This window comes from Homo sapiens, chromosome 10, assembly GCF_000001405.40.
Source record: "Homo sapiens chromosome 10, GRCh38.p14 Primary Assembly".
NCBI lineage: Eukaryota > Metazoa > Chordata > Mammalia > Primates > Hominidae > Homo > Homo sapiens.
In genome coordinates this window covers 122446567-122472857 of record NC_000010.11, presented here as the reverse complement: position 1 = coordinate 122472857, position 26291 = coordinate 122446567, and the positions used below count along the sequence as shown (strand labels likewise).

At 48.1% G+C, this 26291-nt stretch overlaps 2 protein-coding genes and 1 long non-coding RNA gene across 6 annotated transcripts in view; 1 reads left to right on the top strand and 2 right to left on the bottom strand.

Moving 5' to 3' along the window:
* Nucleotides 1–11305, bottom strand: part of HTRA1 (HtrA serine peptidase 1) — a 53355-nt gene extending 42050 nt beyond the window's left edge. Inside the window, exon 1 of the mRNA NM_002775.5 lies at nt 10734–11305. Coding sequence (NP_002766.1) covers nt 10734–11205 — 472 coding nt within the window. The 5' untranslated portion in view covers nt 11206–11305. The remainder of the gene's footprint in view (nt 1–10733) is intronic.
* On the top strand, nt 11453–24799 carry HTRA1-AS1 (HTRA1 and ARMS2 antisense RNA 1). Of its 4 annotated transcripts, none has more exons than XR_946384.3 (4): nt 11475–11909; nt 12947–13940; nt 14192–14363; nt 21919–24799. It is a non-coding gene; the product is annotated as an HTRA1 and ARMS2 antisense RNA 1 (long non-coding RNA). The 4 variants fall into 4 exon arrangements; XR_946383.3 differs by having other exon boundaries at nt 12947–14363; nt 21919–22025; nt 22201–24799; XR_946382.3 differs by having other exon boundaries at nt 11453–11909; nt 12947–14363.
* ARMS2 (age-related maculopathy susceptibility 2) lies at nt 15506–18205 on the bottom strand. The gene is made up of 2 exons (NM_001099667.3): nt 17834–18205; nt 15506–15951 (listed from the first exon to the last, which is right to left on the bottom strand). The coding sequence occupies exons 1-2, from the start codon at nt 18128–18130 to the stop codon at nt 15925–15927; spliced, it is 324 nt and encodes a 107-aa protein (NP_001093137.1). The 5' UTR covers nt 18131–18205; the 3' UTR covers nt 15506–15924.
* Nucleotides 24800–26291: the final 1492 nt, after the last annotated feature.

Genomic DNA, 26291 nt, shown 5'->3' with positions numbered 1-26291 from the left:
TAGTACCTCTCCTAAGAGAATGACCCTAGATACAGAAATAGCCATAAACATGAAAATGTCCATCTCAGGATTGTTTAACATTGCAACCTTGGCCCAAATGGATGTGAACAGGGGAACAGTTAACCAAACGGTGGCAACACTTGGGACAGAAATGATGGAATTAGGCCAGGCATGGTAGCTCATGCCTGTAATCCCCACACTTTGGGAGGCTGAAGCAGGCCAATCACTTGAGGCCAGGAGTTCGAGACCAGTCTGGCCAACATGGCGAAACTGTCTCTACTTAAAAATATAAAAGGTAGCTGGGTGTGGTGGTGCAGGCCTGTAATCCCAGCTACTGAGGAGGCTGAGGCATGAGAACTGCTTGAACCTGGGAGGTGGAGGTTGCAGGGAGTCAAGATCGTGCCCCTTACTCCAGCCTGGGTGATGGAGCAAGACCCTGTCTCAAAATAATAATAATAATAATAATAATAATAATAATAATAATAATAGTAATAAAGAAATGATATTTCTGGGGAGATGATGGTGAAATATGAATCTTCTTTTCTTAATTTTTCATATGATTAAATTACATTTATAATTTTAAACAACTGAGATAGTACAATATGTCATCAAATGTATAAATGCATTTTCCATCATGTCTAAAAAGTAGAGAGAAAAGATACAAAAAAAAAGAGTCCTTATGCTAGGAGAGGAAAAACTTGTATATTCTGCTTAAAGAAAATCTAACCACAGCTGAAAAGACATGAAAGCATCTCAGTCCTCATTCCATGTGTCCACCATGATATTTATACTGATATTTTCCCTTCAGCAAAATTATTATAATTACCATTCAAAGGCATTTATATGTGCTTATAACTCTTGAAGGGAGACATCAGTCATCGGATGAATAGTCTTTTAGTCATCTTCTAACCCAAGGAAATTATTTTAGGGAGAAGTAGGGAGAAGGGTTTTCTGCAACCTCATTTTGATTAGAGAGACTAAGGGAACAAGGCCTGTTTCTCCAGCCTTACAGGAAAACCATGAGCATGGACCGTGGCCTCTCCCAAACACCTAACTGCTCCAACAGGAGGATGCGGCTGAGATGCGGAGGGCTCAAAGGCTCAGCCCTGGGTCTCAGGACAAACAGACTCCACACTGGCCCCTACAGATGAGCTGTGCAGCTTGTGAGAGTCATGTTCCCATTGGCTCCCTCAGTTTCCCCACCTGTGAAGTGAAGGGTTGAGCTCTAGGACCTGCCAGGACCCTTCACCCTCAGGTTTCATACTCTGGGATTCTGTCTTCTCTACAAGTCAGTTGGTGGCTTTGGGAAGCCACCAGTGTCTTTACAGGTAAAGTGGTGTCCTTCATCCACAAGATGCATGCAAACAGGGAGTTGATGTGGTCAGAGATGGGTGTGAAAGGTCGGAGCAGAATGATATTTTTCAGAGGACAGAAGGACTATATGTTTGGCCAATGATGAGAATTCCATGGGAACAGACTGTAAATGACAAGTGTCACAGAATCCCACAGACAGAACGATATCCAGGCACATGGTCCTTCCCAGATGCTCTCAAATCCTCACTCTTCCTCCTGTGCGTCTTCTGCTATTATCAGACTTTTCCTACTGGGTTTCATCCAGTGGGGCTAAACCACACTGGGCTATATTTTTCAGAGCCACAAATGCTGGTGGAGAAAGGTCAGACTGGGATCTGAAGAACCTCAGCTCAGGCCATTTCCTGACCAGCAAACATTAAACAGAAAGTCGGCCTGAGAAGAACACAGGATGCAGGCCACCCCAGGAGGAGCGTGTGCTCTCCACGGTGCAGGCAGAGACGGCTGTTTGCTTGGTATAATGATTGGGATGCTGATGTTCTGGACCAACGCATCTGCCCTTGGACATGATGGTAGTGAACCCTGCATTTGGCCTTCCTGAAACAGAGGGTCAAGTTCAGTCACTTTGGCCAAGAGCTATCATGTCTCAGTAGGACAAGAGAACATGCCCAGAGGAGACCCATGCTTTGACACCCAGGAGGCATTTTACTATTTCCATCCTTCTGGCTTCACTATTCTTGGTGTTGGCTCTATCAGGAGTCCTGGAAGAGTCTGGAATTGCCAACTAGAGGTCCTAATCTCTTACAGCTTCAATGCTTTAGGACTCCTAAAGCACTGAAGCTTTAGGAGTTGACAAAGCTCCTTCATATTCCTTGTATCATTGGACTTCAGTGCTTTAGGATTCCTAGCACTGAAGCATTGGGAGTTGATAAAACTCCTTCATATTCCTTATATCACTGGACTTCAATGCTTTAGGATTCCTAGCATTGAAGCTTTAGGAGTTGACAAAGCTCCTTCATATTCCTTATATCATTGGACTTTAATGCTTTAGGATTCCTAGCACTGAAGCATTAGGAATTGACAAAACTCCTTCATATTCCTTATATCTTTGGATTTCAATGCTTTAGGATTCCTAGCACTGAAGCTTTAGGAGTTGACGAAGCTCCTCCATACCCCTTATGCCACTGGACTTTCACAGTATCCTGCTGATGTCTCCTAGGCAGCATCATTGTCCCCCTGTTGTAGATGAGGAAACTGAGGCAGAAGGGAGTCATCCCAAAGGCCCAAATGGGGCTAGGACCCAGGTTTTCTAACTCTAGTGGTTCATCATGGAGACCGCAATTCAGTGTTTCAGAATAGACTCAGGAGACGTCAACACTTCTCTTTCAGGAATTGATAGATCAGTAGGCAGAAAATCAGGAAGGATACAGTTGACCTGAACCGCACTATCAATCCACTAGACCTAAGTGACATTTATAGAACACTCCATTCAACAATGACAGAACACACATTCCTCTCAAGCACACAGGGAACACTCACCAAGACAGACCACATTCTAGACCAGAAAATACACCCTAACAAACGTAATAGAATAGAAATCATACAAAATATATTCTCAGCCCACAATAGAATTAAACTAGAAATTAATAACAGAAAGATAGCTGGAAACACCCACCAAATATTTGATGAATAAACAAAACATTTCTAAATAACACTTGACTTAAAGAAATCTGAAGAATAGTTTGGGAGTGAAACAGACATGGGCTCAAATCCTGGCTCTGCCTCCTTGCACTGGCTGGCCTTGGACAAGTTACAGCTAACCTCTAGGAGCCTCTTCTGTGGCCTCAGCTAGGAAGCAAGGATAATGCCCTGCCTCTCTGGGTGGCTACAAGGTAAGAACAAAGCAAGGCCCATAACACAATGAGCACAGTGCCCAGCTCCCACAGAGCACCCAGTGGCAGTGGCTCTTTGGGTCACTGTTCTGTTTGATGACATTTCCCACTGCCCTAACTGTCCTGGAGAATACAATATTCCTGTATAGCTCACTCTGTGCCACAGAAAAGCAGATGTGACCGCTGAACATTGAGGCTTCCCTCCCCTATGTCTAGCTGGCAAGATTGCCCATCTGCCTGGGCAATCCCAACTGTGTCCATCCGTCTCCATCAAGTGGTGACTGCACTTAGAAAACTGGCACCAAAGAGACAGCTCTTCTTAGTCACAGGATATGAGATGACTCATGTGTTGGAAGATCGGGTAAAATCTTGCCCAAGACTATGTGAGAAGGAATTCTACGGCGAATCTCATCAAACTTTGAGAAAAAAAAACAGCTCATCACAGAGATAGGCCTACCATCTTTATTGCACAACTAATGAAAAAGATGTTCCTGAGGTTTGAAAATATTGCACAAGCCTCTGACTCATTAGGACTGAGGTTGTTCAATTTGGAAATTATCAGAAACTCCAGCCACAACAATATGCCCTCGGAGACTTTTGTGTGCACAAGGAGACATAATTATCCTGTGGCGAGGGACCAGCTGCTGTCACGGGATGCTGCGGAGGATTGTTTTTATGAAACGTGCTTATTCGACAATTTGTCCTGGAATCTAAAATAATAGGGTATCCATGGACTCCCAAATTTGCCTTTTTTTCCTTCCTTAAGATGTGACAAATCTTTCCTTGTGAGGAATTCCCAGTGCATAGAAACCAAACCAAGCATCATTCAAGAAGGTGCCAGGGCTTCTATAAACTGCCATCTCCTGGGTGTCACAAGCTCCAGGGAGAGTTAACGAGATGACATCTGTAAAATCCCAGGCAGTCCAGACATGCAGCTCTTAATTCAAGAGAAGCCACACACTGGTCACATGATATAGGCAACAACTGGGACCTCAAAGGGTGACAGGCAAAGTGACTTTGGATACCTCTGCCCAGAGAACCTTTTCCAACATATTAGATGGCAAATTCCGAGTCAGCTCCCGGACAGAAGTCTCACATCACCCTCCTTCTCTGTGAAGATTTCCTAACCCACCCACCCACCTCATCCCCAGGGAGACAAGAGTGTCCCAGCACTCCTCCCACACAGCTGACTCCTTTGTCAGTGCCTTGAAGATGATGATGATGATGATGATGATGATGATGATGATGATGACAATGACAACACGCTAATATTGCCTGAGTTCTAGCAATGCATCAGGCACAGTGCTTTGCGTTTCATATAAGGAGGTCCTTCCATTCTGCAATGCCCTAAGAGCTACGTATGTATCTGCTATTACTTCTCTTATCTTACTGATGGGGAAACTGAGACTTAGAGATGAAGTCACCCAAGAAACACCACACATCCAGAAAATGGCAATCCGACTTCAGAAGCCCAGCCCTTAAGCTGAGCATCATACTATCTACCACGAGTACCTTGAGATCAGGGGCCACCAGCCCTTACCTCTGAGTCCCCATACCTGATACACTTCTGAGCACACAGTAGGTGTTAAATAAATGCTCTGAATGAATTTAGAAATGGAACTCTCAGCACTGACTCCAAAAACTGAACTCTGCATCTTTCCGGCAGTGATGGACATGCCTCTTCGCAGCCACTTACTTCTGTCCTGAGGCGTGTTGTCCTGGCTAATGTCCCCCTGTGGTTCTAGGCACACGTCACCAAGTAGTGCTGAATCACTGTAACTTCCATGCCACTTCCAGGAGCCTTTTGGAAACACATTCAGAATGGCTACACTTCTCGGTTTCTCTATTAATAGGATTTTTCTCTTTCTTCTTTTTTTTTTAACGGCAGAGAAGGTGGAGAAGGAAAAGATGAAATGACACAAGGGTATCTCACTTCAGATGACCCAAAGGCCTTGGAGCCCCAGGGAAGGAGCAAGGGGTATGAGTCTCGTGGAAGCTCATCTCTTGGAGATGAACATGTCACCCCTGTGGTCTCCCGGGGACTTCAGCAGCCAGTACAAAGCTGAAACACAAAGCAACCAGGCTCAAGATGGATCACATCTATTCGATGCCAGCCTTGGCTTTAACCATCAATAATTTAGGAAAAAGAAGTAGCTCATAAGGAAGCCTCCCCAGGCTTTAAATTAGGAATGAGGTGACCACAACCTCCTCAAAGACTTGTTTTCTTAGAAAAATCCCAGACCATTCTAGTTAAAAGGAGCCTCAGAGATCAACTGGCCCAATCCCCTCACTGCCGAGGCTCCGAGAGGTCGAGGGAGCTGTTACCTGGTCAGGTAACACCCCAGGAAGGGCCAGAGCCGCTTGCCCTCAGCCCCTCCGCCCCAGTTGGCCTTCCAAGGAACCCTCACCCACTGCCAAGCTTACTTCTTCTTCAAATTAAGCCTGACCAGAGCTATTTATTCACTTGAAATATAAGCTCATGGAAAGTCTGATTTCTGAATCCAAGGCATGAAACTCATCCAGGATCACACAGCTCCAAACGGAGAATCCAGCCCCAAAGCGGAGGCCATCAGGCTTCTGACCACAGTTAGCTCATGGTGCCCGCCACCATCACTTACTCAATGCAGTTATTTTAAGTTCCAATGCAACCCATTTACAGCTCTCTCAGTGGAATGAAGTAACTCAAACACTTGGTTTTTGAGCTTGTTAACTTCCTAATTTTATGAAGCCTTAATATTTTAACTCTTTAGCAAAACCAACAGAGCAATAAAAGAAGGCAGCCGACCAGAGCAGGCAGAGACTCATAAACTGCTCAAAAGACCTCCAAGTTTCCAAGTTTCAGGTGACTAAAAGCTGGAGACTCACAAATGTTTCCACCCACCCTGCCCTAAGATGAAGCTCAGGTCCCTGGCACACTTGTTTTTTAACTGACAAAAGGTGTATTTGAATTGCCAATAGTGAAAATGACTCTCGAGCAAACTGCCCACTTTAACAATGGAAAAATACAACCCCAGGGAAGCAGTGATTGTATTTTCCCCCATTGTATTGAATATAAGTTACCTGTGGGCAGTGACTTTGTTTTATTCAACCCTGTCTCCCCAGAGCTCAGTACAGGGTCAGCACTCAGCTAGCAATGATTGCTTGTTTGAGGTTCCCACGAAAGAGTCACCTAAATAAAGTACATTTTGGCACGGGTGCAGTGGCTCACTCCTGTAATCCCAGCACTTTGGGAGGCCAAAGCGGGCGGATCACAAGGTCAGGAGATGGAGACCATCCTGGCTAACACGGTGAAACCCCGTCTCTACCAAAAAATACAAAAAAATTAGCTGGGCGTGGTGGCGGGTGCCTGTAGTCCCAGCTACTCTGGAGGCTAAGGCAGGAGAATGGCATGAACCCGGGAGGTGGAGCTTGCAGTGAGCCGAGATCGCGCCACTGCACTCCAGCGTAGGCGACAGAACGAGACACTGTCTCAAAAAAAAAAGTAAATTTTACAAACATTCCAGGGCTCCAAGAAGTAAAGCAACCATCTAAGCCCTTGGTTCTTCACCAGGTATGTACATACAGCCTCTGCCTTTAGAGGCTCTGGGGTGAGACCAGGAGCAGGCGATCCTAAAAACCTCCAGGGGTGGAGTTTCTGGGCACCCCTGCAGCTTGCAGACCTCCAAGCTTGTCTGGGCTGCTGCATGGAGTAGGGTGGGCTTTCCTGGAGGATGTACTAGCAGGAGAAATGGATGAGGCTTCTGCTGTTTGGGAAGTCTGTTTCAGGTCTCGTTCCTGGCTTCTTGTCCATGTTTTAGCAGAGGTCCGGAATCCCGGCTGGTCTTTTGGGACATGGGGGAATCTGGAAGGGCTTTCTCTCTTCAAGAGCAGTTTGTCTGGATCTCTGGCTTGGAAACAGCCTTCCTACAGTCCCTCGGCTCTTTTTGCTTTTCTTTAGTGAGGGCTGCACTGACGGCAACTGGAGGCAACCTTGTCTTCAGGCTCCTGAGCCTGCAGAGTGAAGGCTGTGATCTGTCCTGTTCCATCTCTAAGCCACAGCCATCTGGAGCCCTGTTTATTTCAGCTATTAGCTGGGGCTTAGCTGGGGTTGGTTTAAAATCTCTGTTGCTCTGTCAACAGCACAGCATGGTGGTTATGAACGAGGCTCTCCATCCAGTTGTGTGGGACCACCAGTCCTGAGCAAGGTACTTCTCTGTGACTTAGCTGCCCAGCTGTAACCCAGGGAAGACTACAGCACTCACTCATAGGACTGTCCGGAGGATCAAATGAATTAGTATGCACCCGGCATAGAATAAGCACAACATATATGTTAGCCCTCATTATTAGTACCCTATTAGTATTTCAATTCCTTTCTTTTTTGTAATCATCTGACCAGTACAGCTGGAGATGACAGATCTTTGTTCTCTAGCTGAATTGTATACTTTCCCATCCAAACCCTGCCAGTGCATTGACTTCTGAAATAGATGATTTGCCTTCATTTCCAGAGCGGTGAGCAGAGATGTTCTCTGAGGTCTATTCAATAAACAGCTTACAGATGAAAGTGCTTTCCTTTGAATGGTGACATGTTCCTCTATCCAAAGATCTACTGTGACCCAAAGTGCTAGTCACCTCCCTGGGGACCCCTGATCTGATGACATTTCTACCTCTCATCCCCTGGCATGCTCTGCCCCAGACAAAGCCACCTTATAATATTTGAAATCGCAGCACCCGCTCCTGCCTCGAGAGCTCTGTCTCCAGATCCGTGTATGACTTGCTCCAACTCCAGGCCTCTAGTCAAGTGGCACCCCTAGAAAAGGCTCATGTCCATGGCAGCTAAAGTGACTCTCCCGCCAATCTTCCAGCCAGAGCAGGCAGCCAATTCACCTCATTTAACAGTGACGTCAAGTGACCTGCCCGTGGGCACCAGCTGTTGAGTCCTGGAGCCTGGCTTGGACTGAATGAAGTCTGCTGGCTCCCAGGCGCCTGTCCTCGGAAACACCTCCGAAAAGTCAAGGGTGGAGTGTGAGATCCAGAGAGGGGGCGCAGCAAAGCAGTGCCTTCCACTAAGGAAAAACAGAATGGCTGTGTATCGCAAGCACCTCCCGTTTGTCTTCATTCATTCATTTATTCATTCACTAATCCACTCGTACCAAGTACCTCCGATGTGCCAGACAGACAAACATGCAAACGGTGTCAGACACCCTACAGAGCTCAATAAATATTTGCAAAAGAAGGAGGGAGGGATAAGAAAAGCATTGTACCCACTCTGTCTCTCCCTCCTTTCAAAGCCACCATGCTTATCCCTCTGTGGCTGTCCCCTCACTGGTACACCGGGGGCCCGCTGTGAGCCCGATGGCCAATGGGGGACCTGTTTTCCTCCACACAGGGACTCAGCCAACTCCAAAACTTGTTAAGCAACTTGCCTCACTAGCAATAAATTAGGCGGCTCGCATGGTGCCAGCAACTCAGGACCCCGTGCGATGAGACCACAAACAGCGAGACCAGTAACAGCTGGCTTGTTTTGGACAAAAACATGCTTTTTCAATGTTGTCGCCTCACACCCAGATTATTGCAGTAGTCTAAACTCTCCACCCTGGATGCATTCCGCACTCCACTGCTAGGTCAGCCCTACACTACACTAGGCTTTGAGTTGCTCCAGTTCAAGAACATCTGCGCACAGGGCACGGGGCACAGCCAGCCTCTTCAGCCCTGGGACTCTGGGCCACCAGCCTGGCTCACTCCTGCTGCCCTCCCAAAACGTTCCCCAGCCACACTGATCTATTCACCTCCAAACAAGTCTTAGGCTTTGTGTATGCTGTTCCCAGCTCTGAGGGGGATGCACGTCCAGCCCACCAGGAAATTTACAGCACCTGACCCCTCTCCCACACCCTTGGAGTTAAGTGCTGGGCTGACTCCTCTGAATGAGGCTGTCTGGGTTTAAATTCCAGCTGAATGACCTTGGGCAAGTTTTTCAACCTTAGCTCCGCTATCTGTAAAACGGGAATGAGAAGCTGGGTGTGGTGGCATCCGCCTGTAGTCCCAGCCACTTGGGAGGCTGAAGCAGGAGAATCATTGAGCCCAGGGGTCGGAGGCTGCAGTGAGCCATGATCACACCACTACACTCCAGCATGGGCGACAGAGGGAGACCCTGTCTCTTAAGAAAAAAAAAGAGAGAGAGAGGAGCAACTGCCTCCTCGTTTGACCAAATGAGGTCACAGAGGTAACACACCCGGCACACAGACTGGGTGCTCAACAGACGTGTGCTATCATCATGCCCCTTCTCGAGTCTGCAGGATCACTTCTCTCCGGGACAACTCTCTACTGCCTGACTAGGCTGAGTTTCCCGAGGGCTGTGCTCCTGTGTTGGTGAAATACGCAATCTCGAATTTCACCCAGTTCGGCTCTGGCATCTTCCCGTCCACGTAAGCCAAACTATGCTAAGCCCTAGTTGGTCACACCGAACCATATTCCTATAAAGTAAACTCTAGACCAGTCCCTCTGCACTGTGCTCCCCTATGCCCCTCTCCTGGCACTGCCCGTGTTGAGGAGGCAGCACTGGGGTCCGGCAGCAGCGGCACGGCTGCGCCCAAGCGCACTGCCAAGCCCCGCTGTCTGGTTCCTACAACGCGGGGCTGGCCGCTGCTGAACTCGATATTATTTTTCCACATGGCCTCTGCCTGAAGATGAGGAGCATCTCTCCGGAAGGTCCCGCGAGAGAGTTAGACATTGCTCCATTCCACTCCTTCCCCCATCACCACCGTCTCCCCTGCCAGAACAGGTCCTGTGTGCGGCTGTAGGAACAGAGGGGTAGACTTCTTCCTCATCACTAACCCGGTCCCTTCTCCGCCTCTGCAGATTTCGTGATCCAAAGCCCGATTCAGCTTATTCAAAAGGAGCCACTTTCATTTTTGTAGGGCTGGCTCAAAACGAGGAAAGCAAGACAGGCAGCAACGCCGCCGAAACGAGAGCGGTGCCAAACCGTTCCCTGCTCGGGGTAGACTTTTTGGAGAAACTCCGGGGCGGGCCGGCAAACACTGTTCCTTTCCAAAAGAGTTACATACAGTTTTCACTGAGCGGTCCCGTGATCAAAGCAGTGAATTTTAAAGGGGACGGAGGACGTAAATAGAAGAAAAAGCAACCGAAATGACTTCTTGTGGTCCTGAAGCCGCTCTGCGAGGCGCCAATTCCCAGTCCTGAACTTCTCTCCTTCCTTTATGCCCCCATTCCTCTTATTTGTCCTGGGGTCCCCGCGCTGTGTGGTTGCCCTCAGGGCACTCCATGGCCGGTCGCCCGGCGTCTCGAGCCCCAGAGTGCAGGCCGGGCGTACTGGCATCGTCTGGGCGCAGAACCGGCCCCGGGCTGGGCGCGAAGCTCGGTTCCGAGGCAGCCCGCGGAAATCCGCCACCCCGGGGCCCACCTGCCTGTCCCCGAGAGTTGCCCTGGCCACCCCACAACGCTTCGCTGCCCCTCAACCTGCCCACCAGTCCCGCAGAAGCAGGTCCGAGCTGGGATGGAGAGAGTGGGGAGCTGCCCAGGAGCGCGGCGGAGTACCTTGGCCGCAGGCTCCGCGCTGCAGGACGATGACCGGCGGCCGGTGCAGCCTCTCGGAGCGGCGGCTGGCGGCGCGCAGCTGGCACAGGTTGGCGTAGGTGTTGGCGTCGCTGCCGCACACCGGCTCGCTGCTGGCGCACACACAGAGGCCGGCCTGCGCGCGCCGCCGCACCGTGGCCGAGGCTGGCACCCCGAAGGGCACCACGCACTGCAGCCCCTCGCCGCACGGGCCCTCCTGCAGGCCGCACGCGGCGCCCTCGGGCGCGCCGCACACCTCGCAGCAGCCGCACGCGTCCCGGGCCCGGCCGCCCTCGCAGTGCTCCGGCTGCGGCGGGCAGCGCGCCGGCTCGCAGCGGTCTGGGCACCCGGCGGCCAAAGGCGCCGAGCGGCCGGCCCGGGACAGCTGCGCCGAGGCGGGCGCCGCCAGCAGCAGCAGCAGCAGCGGGAGAAGAGCGGCGCGCGGGATCTGCATGGCGACTCTGGCGGCGGCGGCGGTGGCGGCGGACAGGGCGAGGGCCGGAGAGCGGCGCCGGGGAGAGTGCAGGAGGGCCTCGGGGGCAGCGGGTGCGAGTGCGCGCGGCCGCGCGGCCCAGCCCATTGGCCTCGCAGCGGTGACGAGCCGCCTTGGGGACGGGCACGGCGCCCGGGATGGGGGCTGGCCGGATGGCGGGAGGGAGGGCGGGCGGCTGGACCGGGACCGCCCGCGGAGGGGGCAGGGCGGGCGCGCCCGGGCACGGCGGTGCTGGCGGGGCGCGGGCGGGGCAGCGCACAGGCCGGCCCTCTCGCGGGACTCAGTTTCCCCGTCTGCGCGCCCCACATATTCGCTTTCCGCAGGTTCTCTCGCTGAGATTCGCGTCCTTCAAACTAATGGAACTTTGCAAGGGGGCCCTGCGGCGGCTTCGCGTGGGAGCGCCGGGGAAAGTTCCTGCAAATCGCCGGACTGGGGGCCCGCCCGGGAAGCTCGGACTGGGCCGGGCAGGGACTGCAGGGGCCTCTGCGCAGACCCGGGGCGTTGCGGCACCGCGGACCCCGGTCACGCGCTGGTTCTGCCCCCGGTACCCCGCACGCGGGACCCTGACCGCGGGGCCTCTGCGGCCGGACGAAGGCAGCGTCCGCGGAGCTGGCAGAAAGCCCGCGCCCAGACCCACAGTGAAGTGATAAAAGCAGAGAGCAGAAGTAATTCGAATAGAATCCTTCACACGTCTGATTCTTTTAAAAAGTTGTTGTGGGTGGCATGCGTGTCCGTATTCGCAGAGAGCCTAGGAAGCGGCTCGGCAGCTCGTAACTGGCGAGGGTGGAGCGGTCTCAGATGGGAAAGGGGTTTTCCCCTCTTTTGATTTTTCACCAAGTGCGTGATTATTTCAAAACACTTGTTATCAAAAATTTGATTTCCCACTGGAGAATCTTTGGTGCATCCGTTGGGACAGATGCGAGTCCGAGAGTCATCAGGAGGGCTGAGGGCGACCCTGGAGGTGGGTCTGGGTGCCCAGGCAGCACCAGGCCTGTGGGCAGTAGTCCTGGGTCCACACTGAGCAGATGGGCACAGCTCGTGTCCAAGGACCTGAGAGGAGGCCCTTCGTCCAGCCCTCATCCCGAACCCTCAAACCTCCACCCCCACCCTGGGCAGAGGCACCCAGGGTTGGGTGAGCCGGCAGAGCTGACTTTGGGATAGAGTAGCATGGGAGGGGGCTGGGGGCTTGGGGATTTTAATATTCTTCTGTATTTGGGTTGTTCCCTTGTGCACACGTTATTTTTCCAATACAAATAGTTTAAAAAGTAAACTCCAAATACCTATAAGCCCCCTCAAAGCACCTTCCAAATATGAACCTTGTTAATGCCCAAGGTCCAGAGGGGTCCCCCAGAAAGGCCCAGGAGCCTGGGGCATGGGAAAGCTGTCGGGGTCCCCATGCTGACTCCCTGGACTCCAAGCGATATTCCATAAAGCCAGGGCCTCCTGGCTGCGGGAGGGAGGCCTTGACCCAAAATCCATTCGGCCCTGGATACTGGAGAGGCAGAGGCCTCTGCTGATGAGAAGCCCTGAGTTCCTGGCTAGCTGTGGTTAACCACAAAAAATGCGGGGGGTGATGATTTTCGAAGTCCATCGGCAAAGAAAGACTCCCCACTGCAGTCCTGGGGCAGATGGAATTAAAAGGACACGTGGTGGTGAATAAATTGGTGATAACTTATTTTTGTCGAATTTCCTTATTTTACAGAGGAGAAAACTGAGGGCCAGAAAGGGTGACTCCCCTGAGTGTCATGCCACAAGTTGAGTGCTGGAGCCAGGACACCTTCCAAACCGGCTGTGCCTGCCTGCAAGCCCCATCCTCCTCCATCCCCCTGAGCAGCCAGACTGCAGAGGGAATGAGCGGACCGAAAACAGTGTGGCCGCAACTTCCCCACTGCTTTGCGGGAGGTGGAGGGAGTTTCTAGGCTCTTTCCCTGTTGGGGAATTAAGTAGCTGGGGATCCCACTGAGTCTCCACCACCCTCTCACCCATTTTCCACCCCTCCCCCACCACATATACATTCTGCTCCCCCAGTGCCAAATAACTTGCATTTTCTGGAACACACCTGTCTGCTTACGGTCTCTGTGCCTTTCTTTGCCCACATCTCCCCTCTTCTTGAAACACCCCTCCTCCCCTCCAGCGTGGGCTCATGTGACCTAGAGAAGCACGTGGGAGCCCTGTCATCTGGGGGACTTGGGTTCAAATCCCACTTCTGGTCCTTAAGTCTGTGACTCTGGGCCTTTGTTTAATAACTGGAGGAGTTTCATTAGGAAAATGGCAGTGACCACATATGTCCCTGGAGTGACTGATGTGCCACCCACAAGCTTCTATTTGGTCAGTGCTGGGTCCCATCGTCCCATCTAGCATGCTCCTCTTCCATCCTCGTGCCCCCACTCAGTGCCATTGTCTCTGCCTCTCACCCTCTGTGCTGCTATTCCTGCCCTCATCACCTCCTCCCTAGGGCAGAGGCCCCGTCTTCTTTACCATGCCCCAGTGCCAGCACAGTGCTTTGGCAAGTTATTCAGCACTGGGGGAGTAGAGTGTATGTGTGGTGGGGGAGGGGGTGGAGAATGGGTAAGAGGGTGATGGAGACTCAGGGGGACCCCCAGCTACTTAATACCCCTGAGGAAGTGTCGGCCGAAGTGGACCCACTCCTGTGACAGTTCACAGCCTAGAAGAGGCGTCTGTAACCACGGTGACCAGTAAGTGCCAGCCCTGGGGCCACGTGGCTGTTCTAGAGAAGGAAGACAGCACTACCCTGAGAGCCATGCTGGTGGCTTCATCAGGAAGGGAGTCAGCAGGGGGAGGACTGGGGGACCAAGCGGTCCCTAAGAAGCAGAATTTGCAATACCCAAGGTTTTAGAAAGAGCAACCTGGCAGGGCCACTGCACAATGAGATCACAGACTCACCTCCCAGCTGTGAGTGCAGCTCACCCCACCTGCTCTGACCCAGGCACCGGTTATGAAGAAGACAAGCAGCTCTACAGAGGGGCCTCAAGAAATCCTTCGAAACAGAAATCAAAGTCTTGCTGGAAGGGTTCTGGGCACCCTGGACTGTCCACATGGGAGGCTGTTGGTGCGTGTGCCTACGTGTGTCCATCAGTGGATGCACGAAGAAGGAAATGGTAAGTCCATTGAAACCTGGCCTCGTGGGCCCATCTCTGACCTTCCCTTAGTCCTAACGTCTCCATATCTGGAGGTAATGCTTTCAACCTGCAAGCGTTGCTCTTTCTTTTAGATTCTTCCCCATCTGCTGCCATTTATAAAGACGTTTTCTTAAAAGAAGCATTTTTCTTTTGATACATCATGAAAACTCATTTCTCACTCACCAGGCCTTGGCACGGTATTCTAGAGAGGATTTTTCCAGAGGAAAGGGGGCAGTTTTGAAGCCAAACAGACGAGTTCCCCAACATCCTCTCTGCAGCCCTCATTTGCAGCATTGAAGCTTTAGTTTTGAACAGGGCCAAGTCTATTCATGAATAATGAACAATGAAACACCACAGATGCCAGAGCCTTAATCAGGAAACGAGGCTTCTGAATAGGAATGGAGCAGCCATGTTTGTGCTGCCCAGGAGGACGATTTCCCACTCCGGGCCTCTGTTCTCCCAAATGTACAAAGGACCCAGAATGCTCAGGGGCTCCTATTGCCTTTCCTAAGTCACAGGATCTAAGATCTAAGGAGCTACAGTAATAATTTTGGCTCCTCCTATAAGCTTAGCCTATCCCTCTACTGCTCAGTAGTTTCCAGGGGCTCTCCATGCCAGTAGAATGAAGTCCAAGCTTCTTACCCTGACTTCCAGCGTCCCCCATGCCCCTCAAGCCAGGTTGTCCTCTAGATCCAGGGTGGTGTAATCCATCCCTACTCACCCATTCTCCCATAGCAACAGAACCCTGGCTGGGGCCATGCCAGCAGGTAAAAGATGACTTCTCAGCTGGTTTCACCCCCTTTCCTCAGAGTGCCAGACCCACTCCCATCCCCTCTGGCCACCCCAGCATCAGAGGTCGTAACCTCCTTTAACAGCAGGTACACCCTGATGACAAACCCACATCAGTTCAGTTAGGTTCGGTTCAGGAAAAATTTCCTGAGCCCCTGCCACAGGGTAGACACTGCTAGACACTGTAAAGCAGTGTCGAATGATCAAGCCCCTGTCCTCAAGAAGCTCAAAGTCTAGAATTTTCTGCAGTGATGGAAATAATCTCTATCTGTGCTGTCCAAGAGGGTAGCCACTAACTACATGTGACTGCCAAGCATTTGAAATGCAGCAAGTGCAAGGATGATCTGAATTTTTATTTAATTTTAGTTAATGCCTATCACCCGGGAGAGAAAGGAGGGCAAGAAAACAAAGGCAGGATGACAGGAGGGAATGCAGTGACAGAGAGGAATCCAGATGTTAGGAGAAGATTGGGCTGCATCTCAAGGGTTGAGAAAGATTTCACCAGCTGCACAGAGCAGAAGATGCATCCAATTGGTGATGACGTGATGAGTCCGCCCAGGTGGGGAAATTCCAGGTTGCACAGTGTGGCCGCAGGTGGGAAGAGAGTCCTGTGGACAGTTGAGGCAGCTGGAGGGAAGGGGACCAGTCTAGGTTGTGAGGGACTCCCTCTGTCCTCCTAAGGATTTTTGGCTTCACATTGATGCTGATGAGAAGCTCCAGTTGGCTTTTAAGGAGATATGTTTTGGCAGAATCACCTTGCTGCAGTGTGGATGATAGACTGAAAAAAAAATAGATTTAGTAATATGCATTTTTAAAGACACATGACGATATTTTAGGTTGAGGAGCACTTTAAATTAAGTTGAAGATGCAGTTAATGTAACTCAATAGGGTAAGAAGTATAGACATTCCATTCCTTTTGTAACAATTAATTTATTTCTGTATGATCTCTTCAATGTAGACCCCCTCCTTCCAAAATAGGACAAAGGTGAGGAAGTTCAAAATACTTTTGAGAACTTTTTTTTTTTTTTTTTGAGATAGAGTCTCACTCTGTTGCCCAGGCTGGAGTGCAGTGGTGCGGTCTTGGCTCACTGCAACCTCCACCTCCCAGGTTCTAGCGATTCTCCTGCCTCAGCCTCCCAAGTAGCTGGGATTACAGGTGCTGCCACCATGCCTGGCTAATTTCTGTATTTTTAGTAGAGATGGGGTTTCACCATGTTGACCAGGCTGGTCTCAAACTCCTGACTGCAAGTGATTTGCCCACCTTGGCCTCCCAAAGTGCTGGTATACAGCCATGAGCCACCATGCCTGGCCTATTTTTGAGAATTTCTGAAGCACTTTAGAATTACAATACCAGCATTTCTTTTTTTCTTTTTTCTTTTTTTTTTTTGTTTTTTGTTTTTTAGATAGGGCATCCTCTCGAGCCAGAGTAGGCTCAGAGACTCCAGCACTAGCATTTCTAATATCAAATCAAAACATTCATGTCTATTAGTTAAATATAGATACTTAAAAGCCAACCCCAGGCCTGCTGCTGCTCAGTTTCCTTTTAAGCCTTTACATTCTATGTATTTGTTAAGATCTATAATTCAGATCTTTTATTAATTTAGGCGAACCCTTCCCCTAAATCAGTTGCATGAGACCAGCAGTCCATCTTTGCATTAATTGGCTCCTTCCAACATATTTGCTTTAGAAAATTAAAAGCATGGCATGTGATCAAATTTTTCACTCTCCATGGTAAAGTATCAGACAGATACAATTCAAACAGAGCCCCAGGCAGCCACCGAAAGGTCTTGAATGACAGCTTGTCAATTTCTGTCACTCGGGAGCAGCTTGAAAAGCTGAGCGCGCTCACATTTAGAACATGCTGCCATTTAGGCAAAATGGTTTAACATTGAATCAAGGACATTATGAGCCAGAATTTTAAATCTGCTTGTAAAAAACAAAAATTAAGAGAGGGAAGGGGTTCAACCTTTGTGTTCTCTCATTTGTCTAATTATATATACTATGGCAAGCACAAAGCGCCACAGTTCCGTAAGCATTAGAAAGCATTTACTAAGCTTATTTGGCAACATGGTCTCTAAGCTGCTTGATGTCTAAATTTTAAACCAACGTGACCTGTAAGGCCCAGATTCTTTCTCTACAAACTTGCATTGTTGTTTTCTTACACATACAGCCAAGGCATTTTTTTTAATCCATAAATGAGCAGGAAAAATGAGCACTGGAAAGCCGTGAGAATATTGAAAGAATGGTACAGCTTTCTAAATGACTCCTCTAACAACCCGGACGAGAAGCAGGCTGAGGTTTCCACCTCCTTCAGTAAACCCTAAAGCCAATTCACCGGCTTGAGGGGCCACTCAGATGGCCTTCTATAAGCTTTGGGTTTCTGCTCACCCCATCACTTTCTCAGACCTACTGCGTCTTCTTGTTTCCTTTTTCTGGCATGTAGCAGGTGCATTGGAAGTATTTACTGATATTCCCAATTCTCCAGCTATTCAACCAGAGGAAGGCTGAATTGCCTAGGCCTCCCTGTGGCCAGTGGTGCTCAAACCTGAGCATGCATCAGAAGCACCTGAAGGCTGGTTAAAATGCAAGCTGCAGGGCACCACTCCAGAATTTCTGATTCAATAGGTCTGGGGTAAGGCCTGATCATCTGCATTTCTTACCAGTGTCAGGTGGTGCTGAGGCTGCTGGAACCTCCTCTGGGTTCCAGCAGGAGAGAAGAAGGCTGGTAAGCAGAGCTCAGTGTGGATTTTAGCAGCTGGGATCATGGAGTGTGATAAAGACAGTTTGCTCCTCTGCTTGTCACTGGCTCCTTCTCCACCAACTCCAGGGTCCAGCACAGACTCTCGCAGAGTGGAAATGAAGGACACAGGAACCACCGAGGAGGACAGACTTGCCATCTCAGGCCCTCCTTTCCCCTCCGCCTCAGTTACCATCGGTCCTGGGTATAGGCGCAGCATGTAGGGTACAGGGACATAATGTGGTGACAAAGGTGCTGTCCCCTTGCCAAGCCAGCTGCCATCTCACTCAGCCAGGAGCATTGTCTTTTCCCGTCACACAAAAATGCCCCCAGGAGTCAGGGCGCCCTGATAACTCCACCCTGAATTGTTGGGTGGTCTCAGGGAGGGTCCACCCCTCAGTCCTGCTCTGCCAGAGGAGGCAACAGAGGTCCCTAGTATCCATTGAAATCATCTGTGAAGCTTTTAAAAAATGCAGAGACCCAGGGATTTGAAAAAAAAAAAAAACCTTGATTGTAGATCATAGTATTGAATCAATGTTGATTTTCCAATTTTGATCATGTTACTGTGGTATGAGAAAATTTTTTTTAAGAAAAACACACTGAAATATTTAGAAATAAAGGACGTGCAACTTAAAGCCTCCAACTTAAATGTTTTAAATGTTTCACATGCTTTAAATGTTTCCAAGAACTTGAATGATGTAGCGAGGGTGGTAAGCATTCGGGAAATCTGAGATAAGGGTCAATGAGAGTTTTGGGGGTTTTGGGATTTTTTGTTGTTTTTTTGTTGTTGTTGTTGTTTTACTATTTTTCAACTTTTCTCTAAACCTAAAATTATTTCAAAATAAAAAACTTTTTTTTTTGAGATGGGGTCTCATTCTGTTGTCCAGGCTGGTGTGCAGTGGTATGACCACAGCTTATTGTGGCCTCAACATCCTCGGGCTAAGGTGATCCTCCTACCTCAGCCACCTGAGTAGCTGGGACTACAGCTACAGACCACGCCCAGCTATTTTTTATGTTTTTTGTAGAGACCAGGTTTTGCCATGTTGCCAGGCTGGTATCGAACTCCGAGCTCAAGCAATCTACCTGCAAAAGTGCTAGGATTACAGGCATAATCCTAGCCCAGGCCCCCCAGCCTTTTTTTTTTTTTCTGAGACAGGGTCTCACTTTGTCACCCAGGCTGGAATCCAGTGGCATGATCATGGCTCACTGCAGCCTCATACTCCTCGGCTCAGGTGATCCTCCCACCTCAGCCTCCCAAGTAGCTGGGACCACAGGTGTGCAGCACCACGCCTGGCTAATTTACTTTTTTTTTTTTTTTTTGGAGATGGGGTCTTACTATGTTGCCCAGGCAGGTCTTGAAGTCCTGGGCTCAAGTGATCCTCCTGCCTCGGCCTCCCAAAGTGTTGGGATTACAGGTGTGAACCACTTCTCCCAGCCAAACACTTTTTTAAAAGGAAAAAAAAAGCCGGGCGCCATGGCTCACGCCTGTCATCCCACCACTTTGGGAAGCCAAGGTGGACAGATCACGAGCTCAGGAGATCGAGACCATCATGGCTAACATGGTGGAATCCTGGCTCTACTAAAAATACAAAAATTAGCTGGGCATGGTGGTGCGTGCCTGTAATCCCAGTTACTCGGGAGGCTGAGGCAGGAGAATAGCCCGAACCAGGGAGTCAGAGGTTGCAGTGAGCCAAGATCACGCCACTGCACTCCAGCTTGGTGACAGAGCAAGACTCTGTCTCAAAAAAATAAAAAATAAAAGGAAAAAAAAAACTATTCCAGACCAACTGAATTAAAAACTCTAAGAGCACAAATAAACACATGAGAAGATGCTTGGCATCTCTAGTCATCAGCAAATCAACAAATCAAAACCACATTGAGATACTACTTCATAGGCACTAAGGTAGCCAGAATCAAAAAGTCAGATGATAACAAGTATCAGCAAGGATGTGGAGAAATCAGAATCCTCATGCACTGCTAGTGGGATTGTAAAATGGTATAGCTGCTTTGGAAAACAGTCTGGCAGTTCTTCAAACAGAGTGAATATATGATCCAGCATTTCCATTCCTAGGTAGCTACCCAAGAGAAAGGAAAACATGTGTCCATACAGAAACTGGAACACACATGTTCATAGCAGCACTATTCATAACAGCCCAAAGGTAGAAACAACCCAAATGTCCATCAACTGATAACAGATAAATTATGGCATATCCATAAAATGAAATACTATTCAGCCATAAAAAAGAATAAAATACCCACTACAACATGGTGAACCCTGAAAGCATGGGGCTAAATGAAAGAAGCCAGATACAAAAGACAACATATTATATGATTTCATTCATAAGAAATGTGTATAACAGGAAAATCTACAGATACAGAAAATAGATTTGTGCTTGCTTAGGGCTAGAAGAGTGGGGAGAGGCTGGGAACAGTGGCTCATGCCTGTAATCACAGCACTTTGGGAGGATGAAGCAGGAGGATTGCTTGAGGCCAGGACTTTGAGACCAGCCTAGGCAACATAGCAAAAACCCATCCCTACAAAAAATAAATAAATAAAAAATAAAATAAAATAAAATAAAATTAGTTTTTTTTTTTTTTTTTAGTTTAGTGTGACTGTGCACACTTGTATTCCCAGCTACTCGGGGGGCTGAGGTGGGAGGATTGCTTGAGCCCAGGACTTTAAGGCTGAAGCCATGATCGTGCCACTGCACCAGACTGGGTGACAGAGTGAGACTCAGTCTCTTAAAATTTTTTAAAATAGTTGGCCAGGTGCGGTGGCTCACACCTGTAATCCCAGCACTTTGGGAGGCCGAGGCGGGCAGATCACTTGAGGTCAGGAGTTCCAGATCAGCCTGGCCAACATGGTGGAACCCTGTCTCTACTAAAAATACAAAAATTAGCAGGGCATGGTGGCGCGTGCCTGTAATTCCAGAGGCTGAGGCAAAAGAATTGCTTAAACCCACGAGGCAGAGGTTGCAGTGAGCCGAGATTGCGCCACTGAACTCCAGCCTGGGTGACAGAGCCAGATTCCATCTCAACAAAAAAAAAGAAAAAAAAAAAATTTAATAGAAAATAAAAAGAATAGCTGAAGAGTATGGGGTTTCTTTTTGAGATAAGGAAAATGTTTTAAAATTGACTGTGTTGGCTGGACTCGGTAGCTCAAGCCTGTAATCCCAGCACTTTGGGAGGCCAAACCAGGCAGATCACTTGAGGTCAGGAGTTCGAGACCAGCCTGGCCAACATGGTGACACCCCATCTCTACCAAAAATACAAAAATTAGCCGGGCGTGGTGGCACACACCTGTAATCCAAGCTACTCGAGAGGCTGAGGCAGGAGAATCACTTGAACCAGGGAGGCAGAGGTTGCAGTGAGCCAAAATCACACCATTGCACTCCAGCCTGGGCGACTCCATCTCAAAGAAAAAAAAAAAATTGACTGTGCTGTTGATGGTTGTCCATATCCATGAATATACTAAAAACCACTGAAATGTATACTTTAAATGGGTAGATTGTATTTTATTTGAATTGTATCGCAATAAAGCTATTTTTAAAAACTCAGGGGGAGGGGGCAGGGACTGAGCATCCCTAGCGTCTCTAATTTGAAGAGCTCCCAGGGACTCCAATGAGCAGCAGGGCTGAGAACCACACACAGGTAATTTCTGTGTACTGACACTATCTGGATCCACGTTTAAGCCACCCAGTTGGTCTAGAGCCAGAGTAATGTCCTTAGAGATGTGAAATTCAGCAGCACCAGGTATTTTATTTGTCTAACTCATAACCCTTATTTAATCAGCCAGTCTGTGTCGGGTGGGCCACCACATTGTCTTCCTCAGTCAGGTTGGGAGTTGCCTGGCACAGGAGCCTGCCTTGCCCACTATGCCCAGACAGCGCCCGCCACGTAGCAGGCGCTAGTCTCATGTTGCTTGTATTAAACAGATGCTTGCAGCAGAAGGTATAGCACTGAAGTAATGCATTTTTATCTTAACTTTCATTTACTTTCTTCCCGTAGAATTGATTCCATTCTTGATGTGACTTTCAGCTGTCAGCTGTCTGCACTCCCAGACGGGGTGATGGCCTGGCACCAACGGAGCATTACCCTGATGAATCATGGTCGAGGTACTTTTCCACTGGGCCAGCCGCCACAGCCCCTTCTCCATCCTTCGGAGAGCTCTGTCACCTCGCCTTGTAGCACTTGTGTCTCTCCCACTGGCCTCCACTTCTTGTGGGCACTTTCTGGATGCCCAGGCCTAATCCAGCGCTGGCACTCAGTTAATTCTCTCTTCCTTTAAAGGGAACAATTACCACCTTGAGGAAGGAGGCCTGAAAGCTAAGTCTTTGCTATTGCATCCGCCTTCTTCTCACGAAGACCTGCAGCTTGAAAGGAGGGGAGGGAGAAATAGCCCTAAGCTCCAGGAAGACCAAGCCCAGCCTCTGTGATGATTCCGAGGAAATTCAGGAAATCCTTGCTAATGGCCAAACTTCCCGGGTTTGAGATGCAAAAGGAAATCAGATCGCAGGGTAATGCTTTTACACTAAGCAAGAAATTGCAGGATATAAAGCTGTGCAGACCATTGCCTCTGATTAAGAAAGCGATTCTGAGATTCCAGCCTGGAAGGAACCGGGCCCCAGTGTTAACTGTGGTTAATTCTGGGTGGAGGGGTGATGGGTGATAATTTCTCCTTTTTCTTTTCTGTACTAACCATTAATACTGGGGGGATGGGCAGTTAAAAATCAAAGGAAGAAAACATAAAGAAAGCCAAATCCTTTTCCATCTGTAGCCATTCAAGCTACTGCCTGGACACGCTCTCCTTGAAGCTGGGGCTCCTCTCTCAGCCCCACCTAACATGGCCCACCTCCTTCCTGGGGTCACTCCGTGTTCCTCAAGCACTTCAAACTCATCCTCTCCTGCCTCTGAGCTGAGCATATGGGCCTCTCCCCTTCCTTTAAAAGCTCCATCCGTGACTGCCTTCTGGGGGTCAGCCACATAGCTGAGTGAGGACCACATGCTTCACACCAAATGATACAAGAAGCTTGTTCCAAATCTATGTGGGTTTTTTGACATTTTAGAGAGCAGATGCTTTCCCATGCTTTCTAATTCCCTATTACATCTATACATCTCTTTTAAAAGATCCTGCAAGTCCTTTTAGTGTCTGGACACAGGTTATTCCCTCCCTTTCTTTTTTCCCAATTTCACCTGCCCCAGTCCTCCTGGTCAGTGCTTCTGTTTCCTGCACAAGGAAACAGCCTTGCAAACATGGTGAACCCTGAAAGCATGCTGGAAATGAAAGAAGCCAGGTACAAAAGACAACATACTATATGATTTCATTCACAAGAAATGTGTGTAACAGAAAAATTTACAGAGACAGAAAATAAATTCCTAGTTGCTTAGGGCTGGGAGAGTGGGGTGAGGCCTCTCTACAGAGATGGCAATGCCCAGGATTCAATCTGAAGATGTTGTTTAGATATCACAGCATAGTCGGACAATAGTGAGGACAGTCTGGCATTGGCGTACAGATGAACAAATAGATTTGTGCAATAGAAGAAGCCAAACCAGATTCCAGCCTACCTCCAGTCACCTGATTTAACAAAGTCAAAGTCACAAATCAATAGGGAGAGGATGGTCTTTTCAGTAAATGATACCGTATCAATTGACTCGTCATATACAGAACAAAATGAACTTTGGTCCCATACACACACAAGTCATAAAAGTTCACTCAAAGTGAATGATAGACCTACATTTGAAAACAAAAGCAATGCAGGATCCAGGAGAAAGGGTCCAGGCAGGAGAATATTTTTATGACCTTGGACTAAGCAAGAGATTCATAAACAGGACACAAAACCACTAACCACCAAAAAAAAGGACTGATAAACATGACAATTAAAATGAAGAATTTATGTTTATCAAAAACAAAAAGGGGAACCATCGACTGGGAGAACATAGTTACAACACTTGTATCCAACTGAGAATTTATATTCAGGTTAGAAGACTCAAAAACAAAAAGGCAAGCAATCCACTAAGAACAAATTCTGGGCAGAAGACTTCACAAAAGATCTGCAAATGACCAATGACATCAGGTAAACATGGATTGAAACAACAAGAAGACACACCCACAAGATCCGTGACAATTTTGAAAATGAAACCCTGAGGCAGGCAGAATTCTAAGGTCATGTCCCAGATTCCCCCTCTTGGTGTCCGAGCCCTGCACAGTCCACTTGAGTAGGGGCCAGACCTGTGGATATGATGGATGTCTCTTCTGTGATCAGGTTACATCATATGCCAAAGATGGAGGGATTTTGTGATTAAGTCTCTAATCAGTTTACCTTCAAGTTCATCAAAAGCGAGAGTGGCCTAGGTTGGCCTGGCTTACTCAGGTGAGGCCTTTAAAAGAGAGCTCAAGCCTGCCCTGAGCTTGGAGAGATTTTCCTGCTAGCCTTGAAGAAACAAACAGCTGTGAGTTCTGCAGCTTCACAGAAATGAATTTGGCCGACAATCATGTGAGCTCCATTAGAAATGCACCCTAAGCTCTCTCAACCTCTCCCATCCCCCACAGCACCTATTTACTGATTATCTGTACATGATAGCAGGGCAGGAACTAGACTCTCAGCCCCCTGAGGACAGACCTTGTCTGTCAGTGCATTTCACTGTCTGTCCCAGCACCTTGCACAGAGCCTGGCACATATCAAGAACACGGCACATTTTTATTGAGACAGACTCCTCAAAGCTGGAATCTAAAACCAATGGCACCTAATCTCAGCCAAAAAGGTTAATGTGACACCTGTGCTTTTATTACCCATTTCTGCAGATGGAAGGGTTGGTTGTTTGTGGCTATCTCAAGTGAAATGCAGAATTAGTGAATAAAATTTTCATCTGAATTTAAAGAAAATCTTAATAAGATTTTGTTATTGCAATTTTGTTGGTACCACTATGGAGTAACTTACATTATTCAAATCATCATTGCCTTCCCTATAGAAGAATTATATTAGGTTAAGCCAAATACAGTTGAGATATTCAATCACTTTTGACTTCATAAAATGCCAATCTCATATGGTTCAACCTAATTCTTCCCTGCCCCTTTGATGTCCAACTTGATCATGCTATTTTCTCTGGCCAATAAAATGTGATCTTTAGTGGCACGTGTCACTTCTTAACAAAGTCTTAGTGATTGCATGTTGGCCAGCATGCCTTTTCTCTCTGCCATGACCACCAGAAATTTTCCAGATAGAGGTTTTTCAACTTGCTTGGGTCTCAGAGTGAAATGACAAAGAGCAGAGCCATAGCCAATCCATCTGGACATACAGCACAACTGAGCAATACACCTGCGTGGTTATAAGCCTCTGAGATTTTCATTACTGTGGCATAACCCAGCATGTTGTATCAATACATTCTCTTTTACTTTGCCTTGCAATAGAGGTACATTGTGTGTGTCTGCCTCACTTATATCCCAGAGTCCAGCAAAATTTCTTGTCCATAAGAAGCCCTTGAAAAATATTGATTGAATTTAATTAAGTGCTTTTTTTCTGCTTGGAAAAGAACTGGCTGAACACAACCAAAGACATTTTGTGGCATTTATTAATGCCTGTTCTACTTTTAAGCCTAAGGACAAGAACCACCCGTGAGCCAAGCTGTATTATGTCAGCAAAACTCCCAGAACAATTAAGCCTCCTTTAAAGCTGGCAGGGAGCTGTTTCCAGAATCAGCATGAAATCCAGTACTCAGCATGCCTCTGCTAGCTCCTCCTCTGGGGGCCCTCCTGTCACTCTGAGCAAGGCAGTAGGAAGTGGGAGGTGAGTTAGGACCAGATCATGTTAGGCCTTCACAGACCAGGAGATATAAAGCAGTGATAACCTATCAGTGGAAACTGTCAGAGGTTTTCATGCAGGGGAGTGACCACCTGATATTTTAAATGTTGTGACAGCTTACTGGCTAGAGAATAGATTAGAGAGAGACAGGAGTAGAAACAGGGATGGAATAGAAATTTTCTCAGAAATCATGAATTACCAATTTTGACAAAAGAAAAAGTCTTAAGTAAACCAGTATCTATGGTGAAAAAGAAATATTTGTAAAAACAAACAAACAAAAATCACCTCTGGAAAAATTCTTGAGGCTAAATAGTTTCATGGTTGAATTCTTTGAAACTTCACATAAACAGATTTTACATTCTTTCAACTGATATTGACCATGGGGAAAAAATGAAAAACTTCCCAATTCATTTGTAAAGCAAGCACATCGCAATACTAAAACTTGTCAAAAATTGGGAAGAAGGTAAAAGGATCATTTATTGCAGATGATACCATTGTATTACTGAAAACACAAGAGAATCAACTAAAAAAAAATGAATAATATGGTGACCAGTATAAAAAGTTAATTTATACAAGCATTAG

What these genes read in the sequence shown, in the direction of transcription:
- ARMS2 (NM_001099667.3), bottom strand. Translation starts at nt 18,130, where the DNA reads ATGCTGCGCCTATACCCAGGACCGATGGTAACTGAGGCGGAGGGGAAA. An exon ending in CTCAGCACCACCTGACACTG is followed by an intron (nt 15,952 to 17,833) that starts GTAAGAAATGCA and finishes TTTTTTTTTCAG; the next exon opens with TCTATCATCCACACTGCAGC.